Source organism: Homo sapiens, chromosome 1, assembly GCF_000001405.40.
Source record: "Homo sapiens chromosome 1, GRCh38.p14 Primary Assembly".
Classification (NCBI taxonomy): domain Eukaryota; kingdom Metazoa; phylum Chordata; class Mammalia; order Primates; family Hominidae; genus Homo; species Homo sapiens.
In genome coordinates this window covers 228104683-228123322 of record NC_000001.11, presented here as the reverse complement: position 1 = coordinate 228123322, position 18640 = coordinate 228104683, and the positions used below count along the sequence as shown (strand labels likewise).

The following is an 18640-nucleotide window of genomic DNA, read 5'->3' as shown; positions in this document are numbered from 1 at the left end:
AGGGAAAGTCACCTGCTTATGTCACAGCTCTGCACTGGCCCACCCCACTTGCCCCTGCAGTGACTTAGGTCACCACTGTGCAGGCCTGGCTTAAGTCAACCCATGCCACCCCCTTGGGTTGTCAGCCTTAGAAAGACTGGCTTCCTAAAAGAAAACATTTTATTTGAGAATAGCAAAAGATTGCAACCAAAGGTATGCATGTATGATATTGTGAAATATACATATTTAGGCTTTGTCTCCATTTTGGGGGCTCAGAAACAGATATCCCCAAAATATGGCGCTTTGACATGCAGAAATGAAGAAGCTGCAAGGTCTCTCTGACCTTCCCCACCTCATGTCTCCCAATTCTCTGTCTCTCCCAAAGCACAGGATAAAGTTGTTCTCTGAAGCTCCCTTATCTGCCTAAAGAAGGAAACAATTATCTCTGGTCCCTTCCCTGAGTTTTTATTAACTGAATTCATATTGCAGGGAGAAAGTCTGAAGTCAGTCCACCTGGACAGATGTCACAAACCACCGTCTACCCTCTGAGCCCAACAGACTTCGTGGAGGCCATTGTATGTTCTTCAAGCCCATTGAACTCCCCTAAAAATCATTTACTGAGCTCCTAAAATCATTTATGCTTCCCCATCTCCCTTGCCCTTAAGGGCAAGTAACCATCTGTACCCCACTCAGTGGTGGGGTAGTCACTCTGAGATTTTCTCCCATCATATTAATAAATTTGTGTGTCATATATATTCATCGCTGTTTTGTCAGATGATTTTCAGCAAATCTTGAGGGTGAAAGGTCTTTCCTGGCATACAACACCTGAAGTCCTTGAAATCTCTATAAGTAAGTGATTTTTTGTATGCTAATGAGTTGGCTGGTGGCTGGCAGCCCCTAGGTAGCTTCAGAATGGGGCTGGTCACTGAAAAGATCAAGGCAGGATTGGAATTTTCAGCCTCATCCCCACCTCCCCATGTCTGGGGAGGGGAAAGGGACTGAAGGTTAAACTGAGTACCTATGGCCAGTGATTTAGTCAATCATGCCTAAGTAATGAAGCCTCCATAAACACCCCAAAAAGACTAGGTTTGGAGAGCTTGGGTAGCTGAACACGTGGAGGTTCATGGAGGGTGGCTGACCCACAGAAAGCGTGGAGCTTTCAGCCCCATAACTCGCCCTGTGCATCCGTTCATCTGTATGCTTTATAATAAACCAGGAAACCTAAGTGTTTGAATTCTGTGAGCTGCTCTAGCAAATTAATCAAATCCAAAGGGGGTCCTAGGATCCATACTTTATAGCTGGTAGGCCAGAATACAGCTAAAGCAACCTGGGGCTTGTGATTGGCATTCAAGTAGAGTCGAACTGAACAAAGGAAACCGAGCTGCTATCCGCTGCAGAACTGATTGCTTGCTTAGTGTGTGGGGAGAAATCCCCATCTGGTGTCAGAAGCATGTTGTGATAGCCAATGATTAAAGATTTTTTTTTTAAAAAAGTGTGTTCTGAGAGTATAATGTGAAAAACTCTTTGTTTTAATCCACTCAGCATCTACGAAAGTCATAGCCCACCTGAGGAAAATCAGGACAAAAGGGAGTTTTTAAAGACAAAGAGAAATCCCTGCAAACTGCTTTGAAACTGTCAACCTAAAAAAAAAAGTAGAGAAAATTATCTCTAAATATGTTGAGTTTACTTGGGAATGAGAAGAAATGAGGATTATAATTCAGAATGCACAGAAGAGTGTGTTAAAGTGAACTAAATATGGCCTGAGGGCTCTATACTTCTATATTTAAGTTTTTGTGGATGAACTGCAACCTAGCTTAATAGGTAGACAAGATCGAAAACTTAGGAGTATGTGCCTGTAACAATAGCTAAGTCTGGGCCAATCCCAGATGCCATACTTCAACCATTCATACCCTGCTGAGTGTTCAAACTGTGTTCAAATAAGGCAAAGGCTAACCTGTAACCAATCCAACCGTTCTGTACCTCACTTTCGATTTGTGTACGTCATTTCCCTTTTTTTGTCTATAAATCTTCTTCCACCATGTGGCTGCACTGGAGTCTCTGTGAATCTGCTGTGATTCTGGGGGCTGCCCAATTCACAAATCATTCATTGCTCAGTTAAACTCCTTTAAATTTAATTTGGCTGAAGTTTTTCTTTTATCAGGTTGTGTCAGAAGTGGGATTCGAGGTAGAGCCTCTAGCAACCCCCAGGAGTGCTGAGTGAATATGCATGGTACCTGCAGGACCCACTTGTGTCCACTGATCTCTTGGAGCAGCTGAGGATTGTGGGTAAGCTCTCAGATTTCAGAGCTCCACAGATTTGTGTTTTGAGCTCTCTGAGTTTCTTTGAGCAAATTCCTGATTCAAACTGGGTTTGGAAGTCATGACACAAACTGGGCTGGGTACAGGAATGGATTTGATCCGGGAATTAACTGGCTTTGATCCAGTTAGAGGCCTTTTACATATGACTGAGTCAGAAACAAACTGGTAGTAAGCAGTAATATTGCAGGGGTTATAAAATTTGGCTTTTGAAAATTCACAGGAATTTTTGTGTTCTACCCCTTTGTTTCATTTTTCTTGCGCACTTAAGTAGGAAAAATCATTGGCTAAGTTAATTAAGAGAACCTGAGAATAAAGCCAATATTTTAGTTAAAAATAGGATTCTTAATTTCTGGAAAACTGAGTTCCTTCTGGATTACACATTAGGCCTAGGAGGCAGCAAAGTCTCACAGAAATGGCAAAATCTTACTAAAGATAACTTACAGTGGAATGTTCTGAATGAGCAACACATTGAAGTACATTTTAAAATGAGGGCTCTCAGTAAAGTCCCTTTTGGCTAAGAACGGGTTAGGCACTATGGAATGTTAACTGCTATTCTCTTTGGAATAATTTGCCTTGTACTCTTTGCTGATGGTTGTGGGTGACAAGATTAGGCATGTATGTACAGGATAGTGGCACATAGGGAGATTTTTCCTCCCAAATGGGGAAACTTGAGAGCTGATGGGACTGCTGGAAAAGACATCTTTGCTACTGACATTCGGCCGCCTGAACTTTGCAGTATTGCTGCAAAGAGTCGGTCTTGCTCTGGCCTTCCTGAGCTCTTCACCTTCCCCATCCTGCCATGGGTAATACTTTTATTTCTCTACCTTTCCTTTCCTATCTTTTCTGTTACTCAGGGAAACCATCTTGCCCAGAGACCATATGTTGAAACTCCTAGTCAGAGGTTGGATTAAAGACAATGGGGCCCATCTGGGGGCAAATTTAAGTCTTGCCAGTTTGATATTGGCTGCTAAGCAGAGTGGCTAATGTCTGTGTTTTATCACACATATTTTGCTCTGGCCAGAATGAAAAAAGAAAATTTTCCTTTGTGTTGTGTCTTGGCCCCCAGGACTATGGTGCAGCCAGCTGGGTCATTAGGGCCACTCAGGGAAAGAGAACCCAGAAGCCTGGTATGCCGGCAAAAGGGTAAGAATTTCTTACCAGTCAGACTTCTGATCTCTCTCTCTCTCTCTGTGCAAACTCATTGAATGAATGGTAAAAATCACTGTTTATCTCCTCTGTAAATTTTGATTAATGGAAGAAAGGATTTGTGAGGCTGGTCTTAAACTGTAGCAAATCTGGTGTGCTTTGCGTGTCTTTCTGTGTTGTTCTGTCATAAAGAGGGGTACCTTAGGATAGAACACAGGCTTAGGACGCCCATAAGCCCACTTTACAAGATGGCTCAGCAAATTGGTCAGTTATGTCCTTGGGAGCTTGACCTTGTAATTATGTGGCCATGCTTTCTCTTTTCAGAATGGCGGCCCGGGTTCAGGGTTCAATCCCTAGATTAAGGGATGAACCTTTCTGATTAATATTTGGGTGACCTTTGCCATTTTTAAATTCTCTTCCCCTCCACCAACTGTCTTGAATTTTCCCTTCTCAGAGCACCTATGAGGTTACTTTTGGTAAAGTTTAAAAGCCAGAAATATCAGCCATTTGGCCTGGCTAAAGTCAGGTAATAAGAAATTTTAGAAAGACTTTATTAAAGAGTTCTATGGTTAAAAGTCAGCTTAATTAAAAGCAGATATTCAGGCTCTAACAGCCTGGAGCTCCTTGGGAAAAACAGGAGGCACCAGAGACCCTTTCCTGGCCCTGTTCCTCCGAGGACTCCGCCCTAAAGTGAATAATCCAATTAAGAAACTTAAAAACTGGGAAAAAATCTTACAACTACTGTAGTAATCTTCTTCAGTCTGTCTGTGTAGTTATATATGTGTTGTTGTGTGTGTAATGTTTATATAAAAGAGCTCTAATTGGCTTAAACAAAAATAAGCACTTAAATATTTTAAAATAAAAACTGTAATGCCTTTTATTCATGTAACTTTAGTAATCTTTGGAAAATAAAAACAGCTTAAAAATTATTGATAAAATAGGCCAGGTGGCGCGGTGGCTCACGCCTGTAATCCCAGCACTTTGGGAGGCCAAGAGGGGCGGATCACGAGGTCAGGAGATTGAGACCATCCTGGCTAACATGGTGAAACCCCATCTCTACTAAAAATACAAAAAATTAGCTAGGCATGGTGGCAGGCCTGTAGTCCCAGCTACTTGGGAAGCTGAGGCAGGAGAATGGCGTGAACCGGGGAGGCAGAGCTTGCAGTGAGCCCAGATCATGCCACTGCACTCCAGCCTGGACAACAGAGCGAGACTCTGCCTCCAAGAAAAAAAATTATTAATAAAATGAAGACATTTATTTTAGCCTAAAATTTATGTATTTAGTGTTTAGTCTAAATTATGCAGGTCAGATATTTATTATTTAGTATTTAGTCTAAATTATGCAGGTCAGATATTAGGTTTCCTTAATGCCTTAAGGTCATATACTGCTTTGACTTTTGAAAATTGTTCAAATAATTTTGGAGACATTAAATTCTAAATAAGGCCTGGGAATATGTGGAATTAGCCATGCCCCCTAGCTATGAAAAGAAGTTTGTAAAGAAAAGAGACTTTATATAAGAAAGGGTCTTGTAAGCTAAATTCTTATCCTGAAGTAAAATGACTGGTTATTTAAAAGAGGGATGTTTAAGACAAGTCAGAAAATCCAAGCATGTCATAGATGCTCTGTGTAAGTTGTGAAAGGATTCGTAAAAGAAAATTTATGCACCAAAAGTGAAAGTTGCTAAGAATTACCATTATAACATGTAATTGAAACTACTGAAAAAAATAGGTTTTACGAGGTGTGTAAGGAAAATGAAATGTGTTTTTGGTTAAGAGATTATAAGAGGGCATGGGAATATAAATTTTTGCCTACTTTAGAGGGTTAAGGGATTGTTTTAAATTAAATTAAATTAAAGGTTTAAAGAAATCGTGGAAGGTTTGTAAAAATTAACCTTGTAAAAGAAATTCTATGTGTGAAAATATTGACTAAATTTAAAGGGGTATTATTTGTTTTTTCCCTAAATTGAACGTCAAAATAAAAGTACAACAGGGTTTTCTTAAAGCACTAATCTGCTTTTTAACAAAAATTTGTAAAGGGTTATAAAAGGTTTATGAAAATCTCACCTTATGGTCAAACTGATTAAGATTGGATACATTTGTCTATGAGGTTATATTAAAAACTGTGGTTGACATTAATAGTACACTAATGCAAGGGTGAAATTTGGCTTTCTCTGTTGAACAAAATTTTCATGTAATATTGAAAGATAATGAAAGATTTTGTTTGCCTTTTAAATACACTACTAAAAAAAAGGGGAGGGGGGAATACACAAGACAGATTATTTGGAAAGGTAAGTCTTCTTTCTATTAATGAGTAAAAGGTTTTTGCCTTTTGAAAAATGTTTGAGTCATCATTTTGGCTAAATGAATGACTTATGGTAAACCGGAATTCTAGTTCATAATATCAAATGTTTTAAACCTTTAACATTTTTTTTTTGAGATGGAGTTGCGATCTTGTTGCCCAGGCTGGAGTGCAATGGCACGATCTCAGCTCACCGCAACCTCCACCTCCTGGGTTCAAGCTATTCTCCTGCCTCAGCCTCCTGAGTAGCTGGGATTACAGGCACGCACCACCATGCCTGGCTAATTTTGTATTTTTAGTAGAGACAGGGTTTCTCCATGTTGGTCAGGCTGATCTGGACCTCCCGACCTCAGGTGATCCACCTGCTTTGGCCTCCCAAAGTGCTGGGATTACAGGCATGAGCCACCGTGCCTGGCCTTAAACCTTTAACATATTTAATAGTCTTCCAAAAATCAAATTTCATCTTCAAAATGGTCTTTTCTCTCTGTCTCTCTGGCTTTTTTGTTTTTGTTTTTTTTTGAGATGGAGTCTTGCCCTGTCACCCCGGCTGGAGTGCAGTGGTTTGATTTTGGCTCACTGCGACCTCCACCTCCTGGGTTGAAGTGATTCTCCTGCCTCAGCCTCCCAAGTAGCTGGGACTACAGGCATGCACCACTATGCTTGGGTAAATTTAGTATATTTAGTAGAAATGGGGTTTCACCATGTTGGCCAGGGCGGTCTCAAACTTCTGACCTCAAGTGATCCGCCTGTCTCAGCCTCCCACAGTGCTAGTGCTAGGATTACTAGGATTACAGGTGTGAGCCACCATACCCAGCCCAAGATGGTCTTTCTTTTTTTTTTTCTTTTTTTTGACTGGAGCTTCGCTCTTGTTGCCTAGGCTGGAGTGCAATGGTGCAATCTTGGCTCACTGCAACCTCCCCCTCCTGGGTTCAAGCAATTCTCCTGCCTCAGCCTCCTGAGTAGCTGGAATTACAGGCACCTGCCACCATGCCCAGAAAATTTTTTGTGTTTTTAGTAGAGACGGGGTTTCACCATGTTGGCCAGGCTAGTCTCGAACTCCTGGTGTCAGGTGATTCACCCACCTCGGCCTCCCAAAATGCTGGGATTACAGGCATGAGCCACCACACCTGGCCCCAAAATGGTCTTTTCTGACCTCTAACTTTGGAATGCTACAGAGGGCCCCTAAAGCCTCCAAAAGAGAGGTAAACAGAATTATTTAACATGTTAAGTTACATAGAAGCATTGTCAAAATAAAAATAATGTATAATCTTCAGTTTGTATTTTAGTGGACAATAATATATGTTCCAAAATTATATAGGATTTCTAAAATTCTAATATGTCTAAATATATATTGTCAATCATAATTATGGTTATTATGTTGTTATTATACACGACAGAAATAACCAAATTCCCTTGCATAAAACTGCTAACTCAAGTGGAACAGAAAAAATTAAATACAGGCCAGGCACAGTGACTCACACCTGTTATCCCAGCACTTTGCGGGGCTGAGGTGGGCAGATCACCTGACAGGGTCAGGAGTTTCAGACCAGCCTGGCCAACATGGCAAAACCCTGTATCTATTAAAAATACAAAAATTAGCTGGGTATGGTGGTGCAAGTCTGTAATCTCAGCTACTTGGGAGGCTGAGGCAGGAGGATCACTTGAACCCAGGAGATGGAGGCTGCAGTGCGCCAACATCATGCCACTGTACCCCAGCCTGGACAACAGAGTGAGACTCTGTCTCAAAAAAAGAAAAAATTATTGAAATTCCAAGAAAATACTTTGCCAGATTTTCATGTTAAGCCAGCCAATACTAAAATTGTTTAGATATACAATTTGAACTCCAAGGTCTGAGTCAAATTACCTATGATAAATTGGAGAAACAACTGGTATTCAAGAGGACATAAGTCCAGTGTTAAGCATGGACTCATGGAGAACCAGGATGGCCACCTTGTCCCTCTTGAGACTCTAAGGCTTTTGTTATTAATGGTTCTGGATTTTATGATTCATCATGGAAAAGATAAAATGACCCAAATTTAATATACTGATGTGGTTAACTTGTAAATTGTGAAAACTGTTTAAAACCAATACCTCCACAGTTGCCAGGGATGGCAGAGCTGAGGCTGCTTTCCTGGACACTGAGCAGAATCCTGTGGCTCTCGGGCCTCTTTGAGTGGGGAGCTGCCCGGCAGCCCCGGATCATGGAAGAGAAAGTGCTAGAGGTTTATGATTTGATTCGAACTATCTGGGACCCAGAAAAGCCCAATACTTTAGAAGAACTGGAATTGGTAACGGAAAGTTATATGGAAGTTCAGGAGATAAATGAAGAAGACTATCTGGTTATTATCAAGTTTACACCAAGAGTACCTCATTGATATTTGGCGATTCTTATGGGGCTGTGCTTAAGAATAAAACTTCAGCAGTGTTTACCATTTAAACATAAGTTGGAAATCTACATTTCTGAAGGAACCCACTCAACAGAAGATATAAGTATGCAGATAAACAACAAAGAGCAAGTGGAGGCTGCAATGGAAAACCCCAGCTTATGGGAAATTGCGGAACAGTGTGTCCTTGAACCTGACTGGTAGCTATTTTAAGAGCCACTGACCTGTAATTTATATATTTGTTTAAACTCTTTGTATAATGTCAAAGACTCACGTTTAATACATAGATGATTTGTACCTCAGATCATTTTTAAAGGATTATTTCCAAGCAAGATTTAATTTTAAGGTAGTACCTAATTTGTTCAGTGTATAACATTCTCAGGATTTGTAACACTTAAATGATCAGACAGAATAATATTTTCTAGTTATTATGTGTAAGATGAGTTGCTATTTTTCTGATGCCCATTCTGATACAAATACTTTTCATGTCCAATATCTACTGTGCCCAAATGTACTCAATTTAAATAATTACTTTGTAAAATAAATAAGCAGATGATTCTTGTAAAAAAAAAACACAGCTGGGCATGGTGGCTCATGCCTGTAATCCCATCACTTTGGGAGGCTGAGGTGGGTGGATCACAAAGTCAGGAGTTCAAGACCAGCCTGGCCAATATGGTGAAACCCTGTCTCTACTAAAAATGTAAAAATTAGCTGGGCGTGGTGGCGGGTGCCTACAGTCCCAGCTACGCAGGAGGCTGAGGCAGGAGAATCGCTTGAACCCGGGAGGTGGAGGCTGCAGTGAGCCAAGATCATGCCCCTGCACTCCAGCCTGGGCAATAGAGTGAGACTCCATCTCAAAATAAAATAAAATAAAATAAAACCAATGGTTGGTTCCATATTCCTGGGAAGGTAATCAAACCTTCAGGTACATTTGGCTACCTGATGGGTCATTTAAACATGTATAAATGAATTTCATTCCACTGTCATTTTCAATGCATGTTTTATGTTATAACAGCTAATTATTATGCCAGAGTATATTTTCACCAGATAAAGAAAACTTTTTATGGTTCACTGAGGACAATCAACCCCTTCACAATCCAGAACCTGAAGACTGACTCTTCTGAGAACATCAGAGAAAGACTGTCCTTCTACACTGCAACAAAACTTTGGAACCTTGAACCTTGGGTTCATAAACAACTGAAAGGGGTCCCTCTACACTCTTGGAACTGTACACCCATTGGAATCCTTAAGGTAAAACTAACCCAGAAAGTTTCTTCCCAGAAGAAGATGGCATCCTTGATGTGAACAGCTTTTCCCATGATCATGGATCAAGGCTTCTATAATGAGACTCTTATCTTTGAATATTTTTTTCCTTGTTTATGCCTCTATGAATAATAGAAATGAAAAGGGGTTCTATTATGTTCAGTTATAAGGTATACTTTTATTTGTGAAGGATTTTGTAGCCAGCCTTATACATGAATAAACTTATACTTTGATAAAGACAAGACGAAGGCCCAATGTAGGTGAAAAACTTTAATTGTACATATATTTCCTCATAATCAGTAAAAACTCCTCTTAACCCACATCATGGGTTAAAGAGAACATTGTCAGGGGGCCTTCACTTTTCTAAAAGGACATCATTTGTTAGGTCCTTTTTCCATCGTTTAGAATAAAATAGGCAATAACTAGAAATATATCCCTCATAATAGGCTTTCTAGCAGATTCTACTGTAAAGACTATCGTTACACAACAGACTTTAAATTCTCTTGTGAAAGTTATGCTAAATAATAGAATTAGTTAAATAGAAAAGTACCTGTGCAGCTGCTGGCAGCTGTGGCCTATGGAGGAATACATTAAATGTAGATTATAAAAATTCAGTTGTAGAAGATTAATGAAAAGATCACTTAGTCAAGCAAGTAGACCCTTCATCTCACTCATTCTTTAATCTATTTAATTTTAGGTGGTTTGGTTTATGGGGACCCTGGGTAAGGAGCATACTCCAAACTCTTGGTATTATGCTCCCAATAGGCATAATAATAGTCTCCCTGGTGCACTGTATTCTCTCAAAGATTTTAAATGATTGCACACAGCTATCTCTAGAACGTCAAATGGTCTCTCTTCAACTGGAATGAAAGAGCTGAAAGAAATATGTGACCATGAGGATACCATAACCTATGAACGATGTGCTGACACCAGAAACACAAAATGATGGTAACAGAGAGTGGTGCTAAGGCCCCAAGTTTTGGTCACACTCTCACCTAAGTAAGAACCTGACCAAAAAGGGGGAATTTTTTAAAAAACACAATTATGGGAGGCCATTGTTTTGGACTAAGCTCATGCACTAGGTCCCAACAGGACAAACCAAACTAAAATGGAGTCACTCATGCTAAATGTGACATAATCAAACTAAGGATACATATAAATCCTAGAACAGACCAGGTTTTTTCTCCTGTAAACAGGATGTTCCAGCATAAAGAGGTACCCTCTACTCAGTCTTTGTTCCTACCTTTGGAAAACTCATTGTTCTACTGTTTCCCACTGGATTTCAGGAGCAAATAAGTACATTTACTATGGTGATAGTGACAACAACTAAAGTTTTGGTCAATCTCTCAAAATTGAGAAAATGACCAAAAGAGGGTAGTTGCTGAAGCAAACTAAATATGGCCTGAGAAGGACTTCATATTTTTATATTTGAGTCCTTGTGGATGAACTGCAACCTAGCTTAATAGGTAGATAGATTGAAAACCTAACAGGAGTATGCAACTGTAACAATAGCTGCGTCTTGGCCAATCCCAGAGGCTGCACTTCAACTATTCATATACTGCTGAGCGTTCAAACTGTGTTCAAATACGGCAAACACCAACCTGAAACCAATCCAGCTGTTTTGTACTTTACTTTCAATTTCTGTACATCATTTACCTTTTTTTGTCTACGAATCTTCCACCACGTGGCTGTGCTGGAGTCTCTGTGAATCTGCTGTGATTCTGGGGGCTGCGTGATTCGTGAATCATTCATTGCTCAATTAAACTTTAAATTTAATTCGGCTGAAGTTTTTATCAAGTGTAAACCAAAAATAAAAAATAAATTTATAAGGCTCCCCAGCCATCTAAATGGACTTCCTCCTCGGCCAGGGAACTCTTAAAAAAAATTTTTTTTTTTTGACGGAGTCTTGCTCTGTCACCCAGGCTGGAGTGCAGTGGTGCGATCTCTGCTCACTGCAACCTCTGCCTCCCAGGTTCAAGTGATTCTCCTGCCTCAGCCTCCTGAGTAGCTGGGATTACAGGTGCGCACCACCATGCCTGGCTAATTTTTGTATATTTTTTAGTGGAGACCGGGTTTCACCATGTTGGCCAGGCTGGTCTCGAACTCCTGACCTGAAGTGATTCGCCCACCTCTGCCTCCCAAAGTGTTGGGATTACAGGTGTCAGCCACTGTGCCTGGCCTGGAACTCTTAAAATTTAACCTCAAAGACTGGTTCAGGCCATAAGAAGTGGGGGTCAGACATGCCTCATTATACCTCTCTGGCATTAACATCAACATAGACTTTAAGTCCGATAAACATTTTACAACCTATTCTCTCTGAAGCCTAATACCTGAAGGCTTCATCTGCAAATAAGAACTTTGGTCTCCACAATCATATATATATATATTTTTTTTTCTTTCCTTTTTTTTTTTTTTTAGATGGAGTCTCACTCTATTGCCTAAGCTGGAGTGCAGTGGCGCAATCTCGGCTCACTTCAACCTCCGCCTCCTGGGCTGAAGTGATTCTTCTGCCTCAGCCTCCTGAGTAACTGGGATTACAGGCACACACCACCACGCCCAGCTAATTTTTGTATTTTTAGTAGAGAGGAGGTTTCACCATGTTGGTCAGGCTGGTCTCGAACTCCTGACCTCGTGATCCGCCTGCCTTAGCCTCCCAAAGTGCTGGGATTACAGGTGTGAGCCACTGCACCCCACCCACAATCTTTTATCTTAACCCAGACATTCCTTTCTGTTAATCCCAGGTCTTCAGGTAAATTCAACCAATTGTCAAACAGAAAATTTTTCAATCTACCTATAAGCTGGAAGCCAGCACCCTTGACCCCTGCTTCGAGTTGTCCTGCCTTTCTGAACCAAACCAATGTAGGTTTTAAATGTATTTGATTGATGTCTCATGCCTCCCTAAAATGTATAAAACCAAGCTGCACCCCAACCACCTTGGGAACATGTTCTCAGGACCTCTGTCCTGAGGGCTGTGTCACAGGCCATGGTTACTCATATTTGGCTCAGAATATATCTCTTAAAATATTTTACAAAGTTTGACTCTTTTCATCAACAGCAGCAAGCCACCAGCATTCCCAGTGAGGGAAGGGTAAAGGGAACTTTTTATCAGTGAAAAGGGAACTTTTATCAGCGAAAAGGGAGCGGTTCACAGAAGCTGCTTAGAAAGAGTTCATTGGTTCCAGGGGCCCAACGCCAAAGCTCAAAGTTGTCCTCAGTTCATTGGTGGCGCTGCCATTACTGGGCAAGTGTTTATTCCGAGCATCTTAACTGAATTACTGCAGTCCTAAAGATGGTCTAAATTTTGTCAAAGTAGGAGACCCGTGAATGACACAAAAGGGTTTCTTGTGGGGTTTTTAGAAAGTCCTTGCGAATAATTCTTATCTCAGACACTAAGCCTGAGCCTCCTGTTCTTCCCAGCCCTGTTTGTCTGGGCCTGACAAAGTGATTTCACTCCTTATTTGTAACTTTCACAAAACAAAGGCCCTGGTCTCATGAACTCATTGCACAAAGTGACCCTGGTTCGCTGAGGCAGATAGGCGATGCTATCTGCCTGCCCTGGTCCAAACATCTCATCTGGAATACTGCAGGCCAGTGGAAATGCCCGGAATAAGCTCTGTTTACAAGGTAATAGCGAGCCTCTCTGGCATTTCAGAAATGCGTGACAGCTGCTTCCTTAGGGCCCTCCCCACTCCATTTTGGTTACGTTGTGACATAAATTACTCCATTTTGCTGTGAACTACAGGGTCATTTCTCAGCCCCCGCCAACCCCGCGGATCCCCCCTCAGCCCCGCTGTATCAGCCTTTCGGATCCTCCTTCAGCCTCTCAGGTCCTCCTCAGCCCGCTGCGTGCCTCTTCAGCCCCCCTTGAACTTCCGTCATCCCCACAGATCCTCCCTCAGCCTCCCTAGATTCCCACCTCAGCGCCCATGGATCCTCCCTCACTGCCCCCTGGGACCTCCCTCAGTTCTGCAGATTCCCCCCTTAGCCTCCTGGGACCTCTCTCACCCCTTCTAGATCCTCTCTCAGCCCCGCAGATCCTTCCGCAGCTCCCCCTGGATCCTCCCTCAGCCCAGCTGGTGCCCACTCAGCCCCGCGGATCCTCCTTCCCTCAGCCCCCGCCCGGGTGCTCCCGCAGTCCCCCTGGGTCCTCCCTCAGCCCAGCTGATGCCCCTTCAGCTCCGAGGATCCTCCCTCAGCCCCCCTGCGTCTTCCCTCAGCCCCCTGCGTCCTCCCTCAGGACCCCTGGGTCCTCCCTCAGCCCTCCGGGACCTCTATCAGCTCTCCTGGATCCTCCCTCAGCCCTGCGGATCCTCCCTCAGCTCCCCACCCCGGGTCCTCCCTCAGCACTCCCCCACTCCGTCCTCCCTCAGACCCGCGGGTCCCCCTCGACCTCGCCGGCCCGCCCTGGTCCTCCCGGTAGGGACGGAGGTCACCTGCTCGCCGGCCCCGCCTGGGTTCTTGTACCGCCACAGCGCCCCCGCAGGCCCCGCCCACCTAGGCTTCGTCCCGCCCCCGAGATTACATCACGCCGCGCCGGCCCCGCCCAACAGGGGCGTATATCTTCGTGTCTCACCGCCCACTCTTGCCTCTCCCTGCCATGGAACACGTCATACCGCGCGACGCAGCGCCTGCCAGTGACGTCGTGGGCTGCAGCGCAGCAGCACCCAACGCAGTGAGTACCTTGATCTCCTGCGTGGCCTCGTCCCTGGTCTTAGTTCCACCGGGCAGCGGGAGTCAGGACCGCCTGTCCTCAGACCCCTCCGCAGCGACTGTGGCGGCCGCAGGTTGGCGCCTCGTGTGGGCCGGGAACAGAGGCGGGAGGCGCTGTACCCTCCCGGTGGAGTCGGGAGGGAGGGAGGCAGGGAAGGGGACAGGGGGCTGCACCTGTGATAAGCCCTTGTCCCCATGCAGTCTAGCAGGAAAGGAGAGGGAGCTTTCCCCGAAGACCCTCCTGGACCAGCCCCAGGCTCCTGTGCTGGTGAGGCCGAGGGAGAGGGATGTGGGCATAGGACACGTAGCAGGATTTCCATTTTAGAGGCAGCCGGACCTGTCTTCAGGTCCCTTCCTTGGTGAGAGACAGGGGTACGCCAGAGGAAGCTGGGCGCTCGGCCTCTGTGCAGCCTCATCTCCTGGAATCTGAGTATTGAAAACTGGGCTTTTACTTCGCACACCTCAGCACAGACTCCCATGGGAATCCAGGTCACAGCAAAGCAGCCCTGGGCCTCCATTCTCCTTTAAGCAAGCATGACAATCCTCACTTCACTGAGTTTTTATTAAAACTAGCAATGACCTTAGAAAGCAAGGCATGACCTCAGCTCCACTTTTGAGGCTGCAGTCCATTCAGAGAGGTTTCGCAGACTCGGTAACGGCCAGAACAGACAGCCTGGGCCCTGCCGCAGGCTGACTCAGAATCTTTGGGAGTAGTGACCAACTTCTGCTTTTGGAAAAACCTCTACAGGCGGTTCTGAGAAGTCCAAGGGTTGCTGGGAGAGGTTGGTGAGTGGCGTGGTGATTACATGTGTCTTGGAAGCATCCTGGGCTGGGATTTGATAAGAAACCATTAGGTGGAAGAACCTTCCTTTTAAAAAAGATCTCTTCATTCTCTGCCTAGCAGGTTGCACGCCAGGGCCTGTACTGACCACCTCCACGTGCCACTGGGGCTGTAAGGAGGAATGGCGGCCGTGGGCAGCCTGCTTGGGTAAGCATGGACTTTTAGGTCCCTGGGGATTACTGTCAGGGGCCACCCCAGGGAACCCCTCTCTTCAGCAGGAAACCGCCATTCTAATCCTCCCTAGTCCTTGCTATTGTCCACTGTCCCCTGTGCTGGAAGCTTTGTGCCCTTGCTCAGCCTGGCAGCCTCTTCCTGGCTAGGGGGCCAGAACGCCTCTGACCACAGCCTGTGGCTCCTGAGGAAGCCCCGAGGCTCATCCTGCCCCGGCACGGGTCACCAGCTCTGGTAATGTCTCCTGTGGCCCGGCAGTGCCCAATCACAGCCAGCCTCAGTCATGTTGGCACTCTGCTGCAGCACTGTCGGCTGACCAGAGCTTGAACATTTATCTGCAGCCGGCTGAGGCAGAGCACCGTGAAGGCCACCGGACCTGCACTCCGCCGCCTGCACACATCCTCCTGGCGAGCTGACAGCAGCAGGGCCTCACTCACTCGTGTGCACCGCCAGGCTTATGCACGACTCTACCCCGTGCTGCTGGTGAAGCAGGATGGCTCCACCATCCACATCCGCTACAGGGAGCCACGGCGCATGCTGGCGGTAAGCTTCCCTCTCCAGGTGCTTCCAGGTGCCGGGCTGGGGTCGAGGCTGTGGTGGGGGTGCTGGTGACCAGTCGCCTTCGGATGGACATGTGGCTGTGGTCACTGTACCACATGACAGGAGTCAGGGGAGCAGGTGGTTGTTGGAGGAGTGGAGGAAGGCTTAGATCCAAAACTGACTCTAAGCACCAAAATTAGATAGGACTAACCAGTAGTGTGTTTTTATTTTTTAAATTTATTTTTTTGAGACAGGGTCTTGCTCTGTCAACCAGGCTGGAGTGCAGAGGCACGATCTCGGTTCACTGCAGCCCTGACCCCCTGGGCTCATGCGGTCCTCCCACCCCAGCTTCCCAAGTAGCTGGGACTGCAGGTGCACACCACCATGCCTCACTAATTTTTTGAAAGATATTTTTGTAGAGATGGGGTCTCTCTGTGTTGCCCAGGCTAGTCTTGAACTCCTGGGCTCAAGCGATCCTCTCACCTAGGCCTCCCAAAGCACTGGGATTACAGGTATGAGTGAGCCATCATGCCTGGCCTTGTGTGTTTTTAAAAACATCAAATCTGGGGAAAACACAGAACAATTTATTTTAAAGATTGAAAGCTTTGAAGGGAGAGACCAATAAGAATGTTTGAAAATTAAGCTAGCATAGGATGGAAGACGTAAGTTGAGAGGAAGGCCTTGGGCTGTCCCCCCAGTAGCTCTCAAGGTCCCTCGATCCACATGGACGAAACTTGGTCTGTCCCCTGCAGATGCCCATAGATCTGGACACCCTGTCTCCTGAGGAGCGCCGGGCCAGGCTGCGGAAGCGTGAGGCTCAGCTCCAGTCGAGGAAGGAGTACGAGCAGGAGCTCAGTGATGACTTGCATGTGGAGCGCTACCGACAGTTCTGGACCAGGACCAAGAAGTGACCGTGGCTCCAGCCACCCCGGGACATTGCTAAGATGGGAGGGCTGTTCTTAAATCACTCGTTCTTGAAGCTGCCACCTGGAGTCTGTGTCTGTCTCCCCACTTGGTGTGTGCCCCAGACTGGCAGCTCATCCCCTGAAAGGCATCAGCTCAAGCACAGAGAGAGCTCAGTGGACTAGCAGGGTGAGGGTTGGTGTAGATCAAACCTGTGGGTTTTGGACACTGCTCTGGGGCTGTGGTGCACGTGGACAACCATGTGGGCAGTACCCAACACCACCAAGCTCTAAGCTCTGCCCTCCCAGCCTCAGGGGCACCAAGGTGACTGCCCTTCTGACAGCACAGTGGCCCTCAGGTTGGTTCCTAGGAGGGGCTGGGTGTTCTGGGACTCAGGCATCAACCTTGGTGGGGCAGTCCTAGGACCATCTGGACCACAGCCTGCAGCTCCCTGCCCTGGCCCTGCATTCCCAGGCTGCCCCAGGGAAGGTCCTGCCCTGGGAGGGTCCCCAGAGGAGCAGCCAGCCCTGGTTGTCCTTGACTCTTAATGGGGTCTGCAGAGCACTGCAGTTACACACAGCCCAGGGAGATCCACGGACCCTGCTTCATCTGTCCAGAGGCTGATTTAACTCAGGACCAGCTCCAGCTAATGTGCAGGCACCTTCCACACGCACAACAACCCAGGTTTTGGACAGCTCAGGGCCCAGACTGCTTCCTGTCCCTGTCCTGGGATGTTACTGGGTCCCACCTGGCAGGCTGTCTCTCTGACACCTGGAGTGCCCGACAAAGACTTCTTGCAGTGGTGTTCTGGGATTGCCAGGGAGGTGTGGGAGTGTGTTCTGTCATGCCCCTGTGATGACAGTGCTTATAACTGAGGAGCCTGGGCAGTGTCCCCACCTTGCAGGCCCATCCCTTGCCCCTTAAGCTTGTTCCTGGCCCTCTGCTCATCCCGCTGGCCTTCAGCTCTGCTGAGAAGAGCCTGCAAGGGATGTCCTCTGGCCCTGCCCCTGTCCTTGTGACCGAGCAGTGCCTGACCTCACGTGGATGGGCTGTGTGGCTGCCTGGGACTCTGCCTTGCAGGGTTACTTCCTGAGCAGCCTCCCTGGAGCCCCCGTCTCTGAAGTTGTGGCTCAATCCCTGTGGCATATAGAGCCAGCTGCCCGGCCACTCTGTGCACTCACTTGGCCCCCCCCCTCCACTACCCAGCCTCCTCCCACTATAGTGGGTTCCCCTGGGATCTCCACTGCCCCTCCACTCCCTGACCGCCACCCTCCTGGGTCCAGCTTCGCTGCTGTCACAGAGGACACCACTGTGACCAGTGCCCCCAGCTGGGCCTCCACCCAGCAGGCACAGGCCATGCAACCTCCACCCTGGTGACCCCTCCTCCTGTGGCCTACGGCTTGTCAGGCTAATGGGCTCAAAACTGACCAGGTCTTCCCCACAAACCTGGTCCTCATGTTGACAGGTGGCTGCTTCATCCTCACAGTTGCCCAGACCAGAGCCTCAGAGCCGTCCTGGACTCCTGCCCAATGTCCACCTGGCCCTGCTATCCCCTCTCCACCACACCTGACATCCAGTCAGTGGTCAGACTCCACAGCTGGGCCCTGCCCACATGGCCCAAGTCCACCCTGGCCTGGCAAGCTGCAATGGCACCCAGGAGATGATGCCCTACACCCCAGGGAGCCTTCCTGGGAGTCGGCCAGTCACCTTCTGTGTGCCTGGCTGTGGCCTGCTGCTCTGCCCTCGCCATGCACCTGCTCCATGATGAAAGCTCATGCAGTGCCTCATGAGGGAGATGGCAGCCAGTACTTGCTAAGTAGATAGATGAGCCAGACGTGTGGCTGTCTGCCAGCCTGCTCTAACAGCCTGACCCATGGACTGGGTCACTAAGAAACAGAAATTTCCCACAGGACAGTAGACCTGTATTTCATCCAGTTCAACCTGTGGCTGGAATTGCCCCAAAAGTGGTGGCAGTAGAGTTCCCACAAGGGAGTGCCCCACACCATCCTGAGATGGGGCTGGTTAGGATTCTACAGATTGAGCATGCCAGGGTGATTCGCCCAGAGCATTTATTCGTGGGGCTTT

The 18640-nt window shown here is 46.4% G+C and overlaps 1 protein-coding gene and 1 pseudogene across 25 annotated transcripts, besides 4 other annotated features; both read left to right on the top strand.

Moving 5' to 3' along the window:
- CIAO2AP2 (CIAO2A pseudogene 2) lies at nt 7839-8688 on the top strand (annotated as a pseudogene).
- Nucleotides 13579-13668: a silencer, noted in NCBI's record as "silent region_1913". NCBI's record gives its function as "represses an Ori minimal core promoter by ATAC-STARR-seq in GM12878 lymphoblastoid cells {active_cell/tissue: GM12878}" and the evidence as "EXISTENCE:reporter gene assay evidence [ECO:0000049][PMID:35858748]".
- Nucleotides 13939-14108: an enhancer, noted in NCBI's record as "active region_2690". NCBI's record gives its function as "activates an Ori minimal core promoter by ATAC-STARR-seq in GM12878 lymphoblastoid cells {active_cell/tissue: GM12878}" and the evidence as "EXISTENCE:reporter gene assay evidence [ECO:0000049][PMID:35858748]".
- On the top strand, nt 14024-16638 carry MRPL55 (mitochondrial ribosomal protein L55). 25 transcript variants are annotated; one of them, XM_047446139.1, is made up of 6 exons: nt 14024-14062; nt 14302-14368; nt 14849-14882; nt 15005-15088; nt 15454-15655; nt 16405-16638. In XM_047446139.1, the coding sequence occupies exons 4-6, from the start codon at nt 15063-15065 to the stop codon at nt 16561-16563; spliced, it is 387 nt and encodes a 128-aa protein (XP_047302095.1). In that variant the 5' UTR covers nt 14024-14062; nt 14302-14368; nt 14849-14882; nt 15005-15062; the 3' UTR covers nt 16564-16638. The 25 variants fall into 25 exon arrangements, with proteins under 25 accessions (XP_047302095.1, NP_852119.1, NP_852120.1 ...); NM_181454.3 differs by having other exon boundaries at nt 14849-14886; NM_181455.3 differs by having other exon boundaries at nt 14849-14886; nt 15002-15088.
- Nucleotides 14377-15090: an enhancer, noted in NCBI's record as "H3K27ac-H3K4me1 hESC enhancer chr1:228295934-228296647 (GRCh37/hg19 assembly coordinates)". NCBI's record gives its function as "activates a minimal SCP1, AML or CMV promoter by ChIP-STARR-seq in primed H9 embryonic stem cells {active_cell/tissue: H9 hESC(primed)}" and the evidence as "EXISTENCE:reporter gene assay evidence [ECO:0000049][PMID:30033119]".
- Nucleotides 15091-15805: an enhancer, noted in NCBI's record as "H3K4me1 hESC enhancer chr1:228295219-228295933 (GRCh37/hg19 assembly coordinates)". NCBI's record gives its function as "activates a minimal SCP1, AML or CMV promoter by ChIP-STARR-seq in primed H9 embryonic stem cells {active_cell/tissue: H9 hESC(primed)}" and the evidence as "EXISTENCE:reporter gene assay evidence [ECO:0000049][PMID:30033119]".
- Nucleotides 16639-18640: the final 2002 nt, after the last annotated feature.

Bases quoted from the DNA above. Each gene is read 5' to 3' on its own strand.
- MRPL55 (NM_181462.3), top strand. From the start codon at position 15,063: ATGGCGGCCGTGGGCAGCCTGCTTGG. The intron at 15,089-15,238 runs GTAAGCATGGAC...GCCCTTGCTCAG, and splicing joins GCCGTGGGCAGCCTGCTTGG to CCTGGCAGCCTCTTCCTGGC. The intron at 15,347-15,453 runs GTAATGTCTCCT...ATTTATCTGCAG, and splicing joins GGCACGGGTCACCAGCTCTG to CCGGCTGAGGCAGAGCACCG.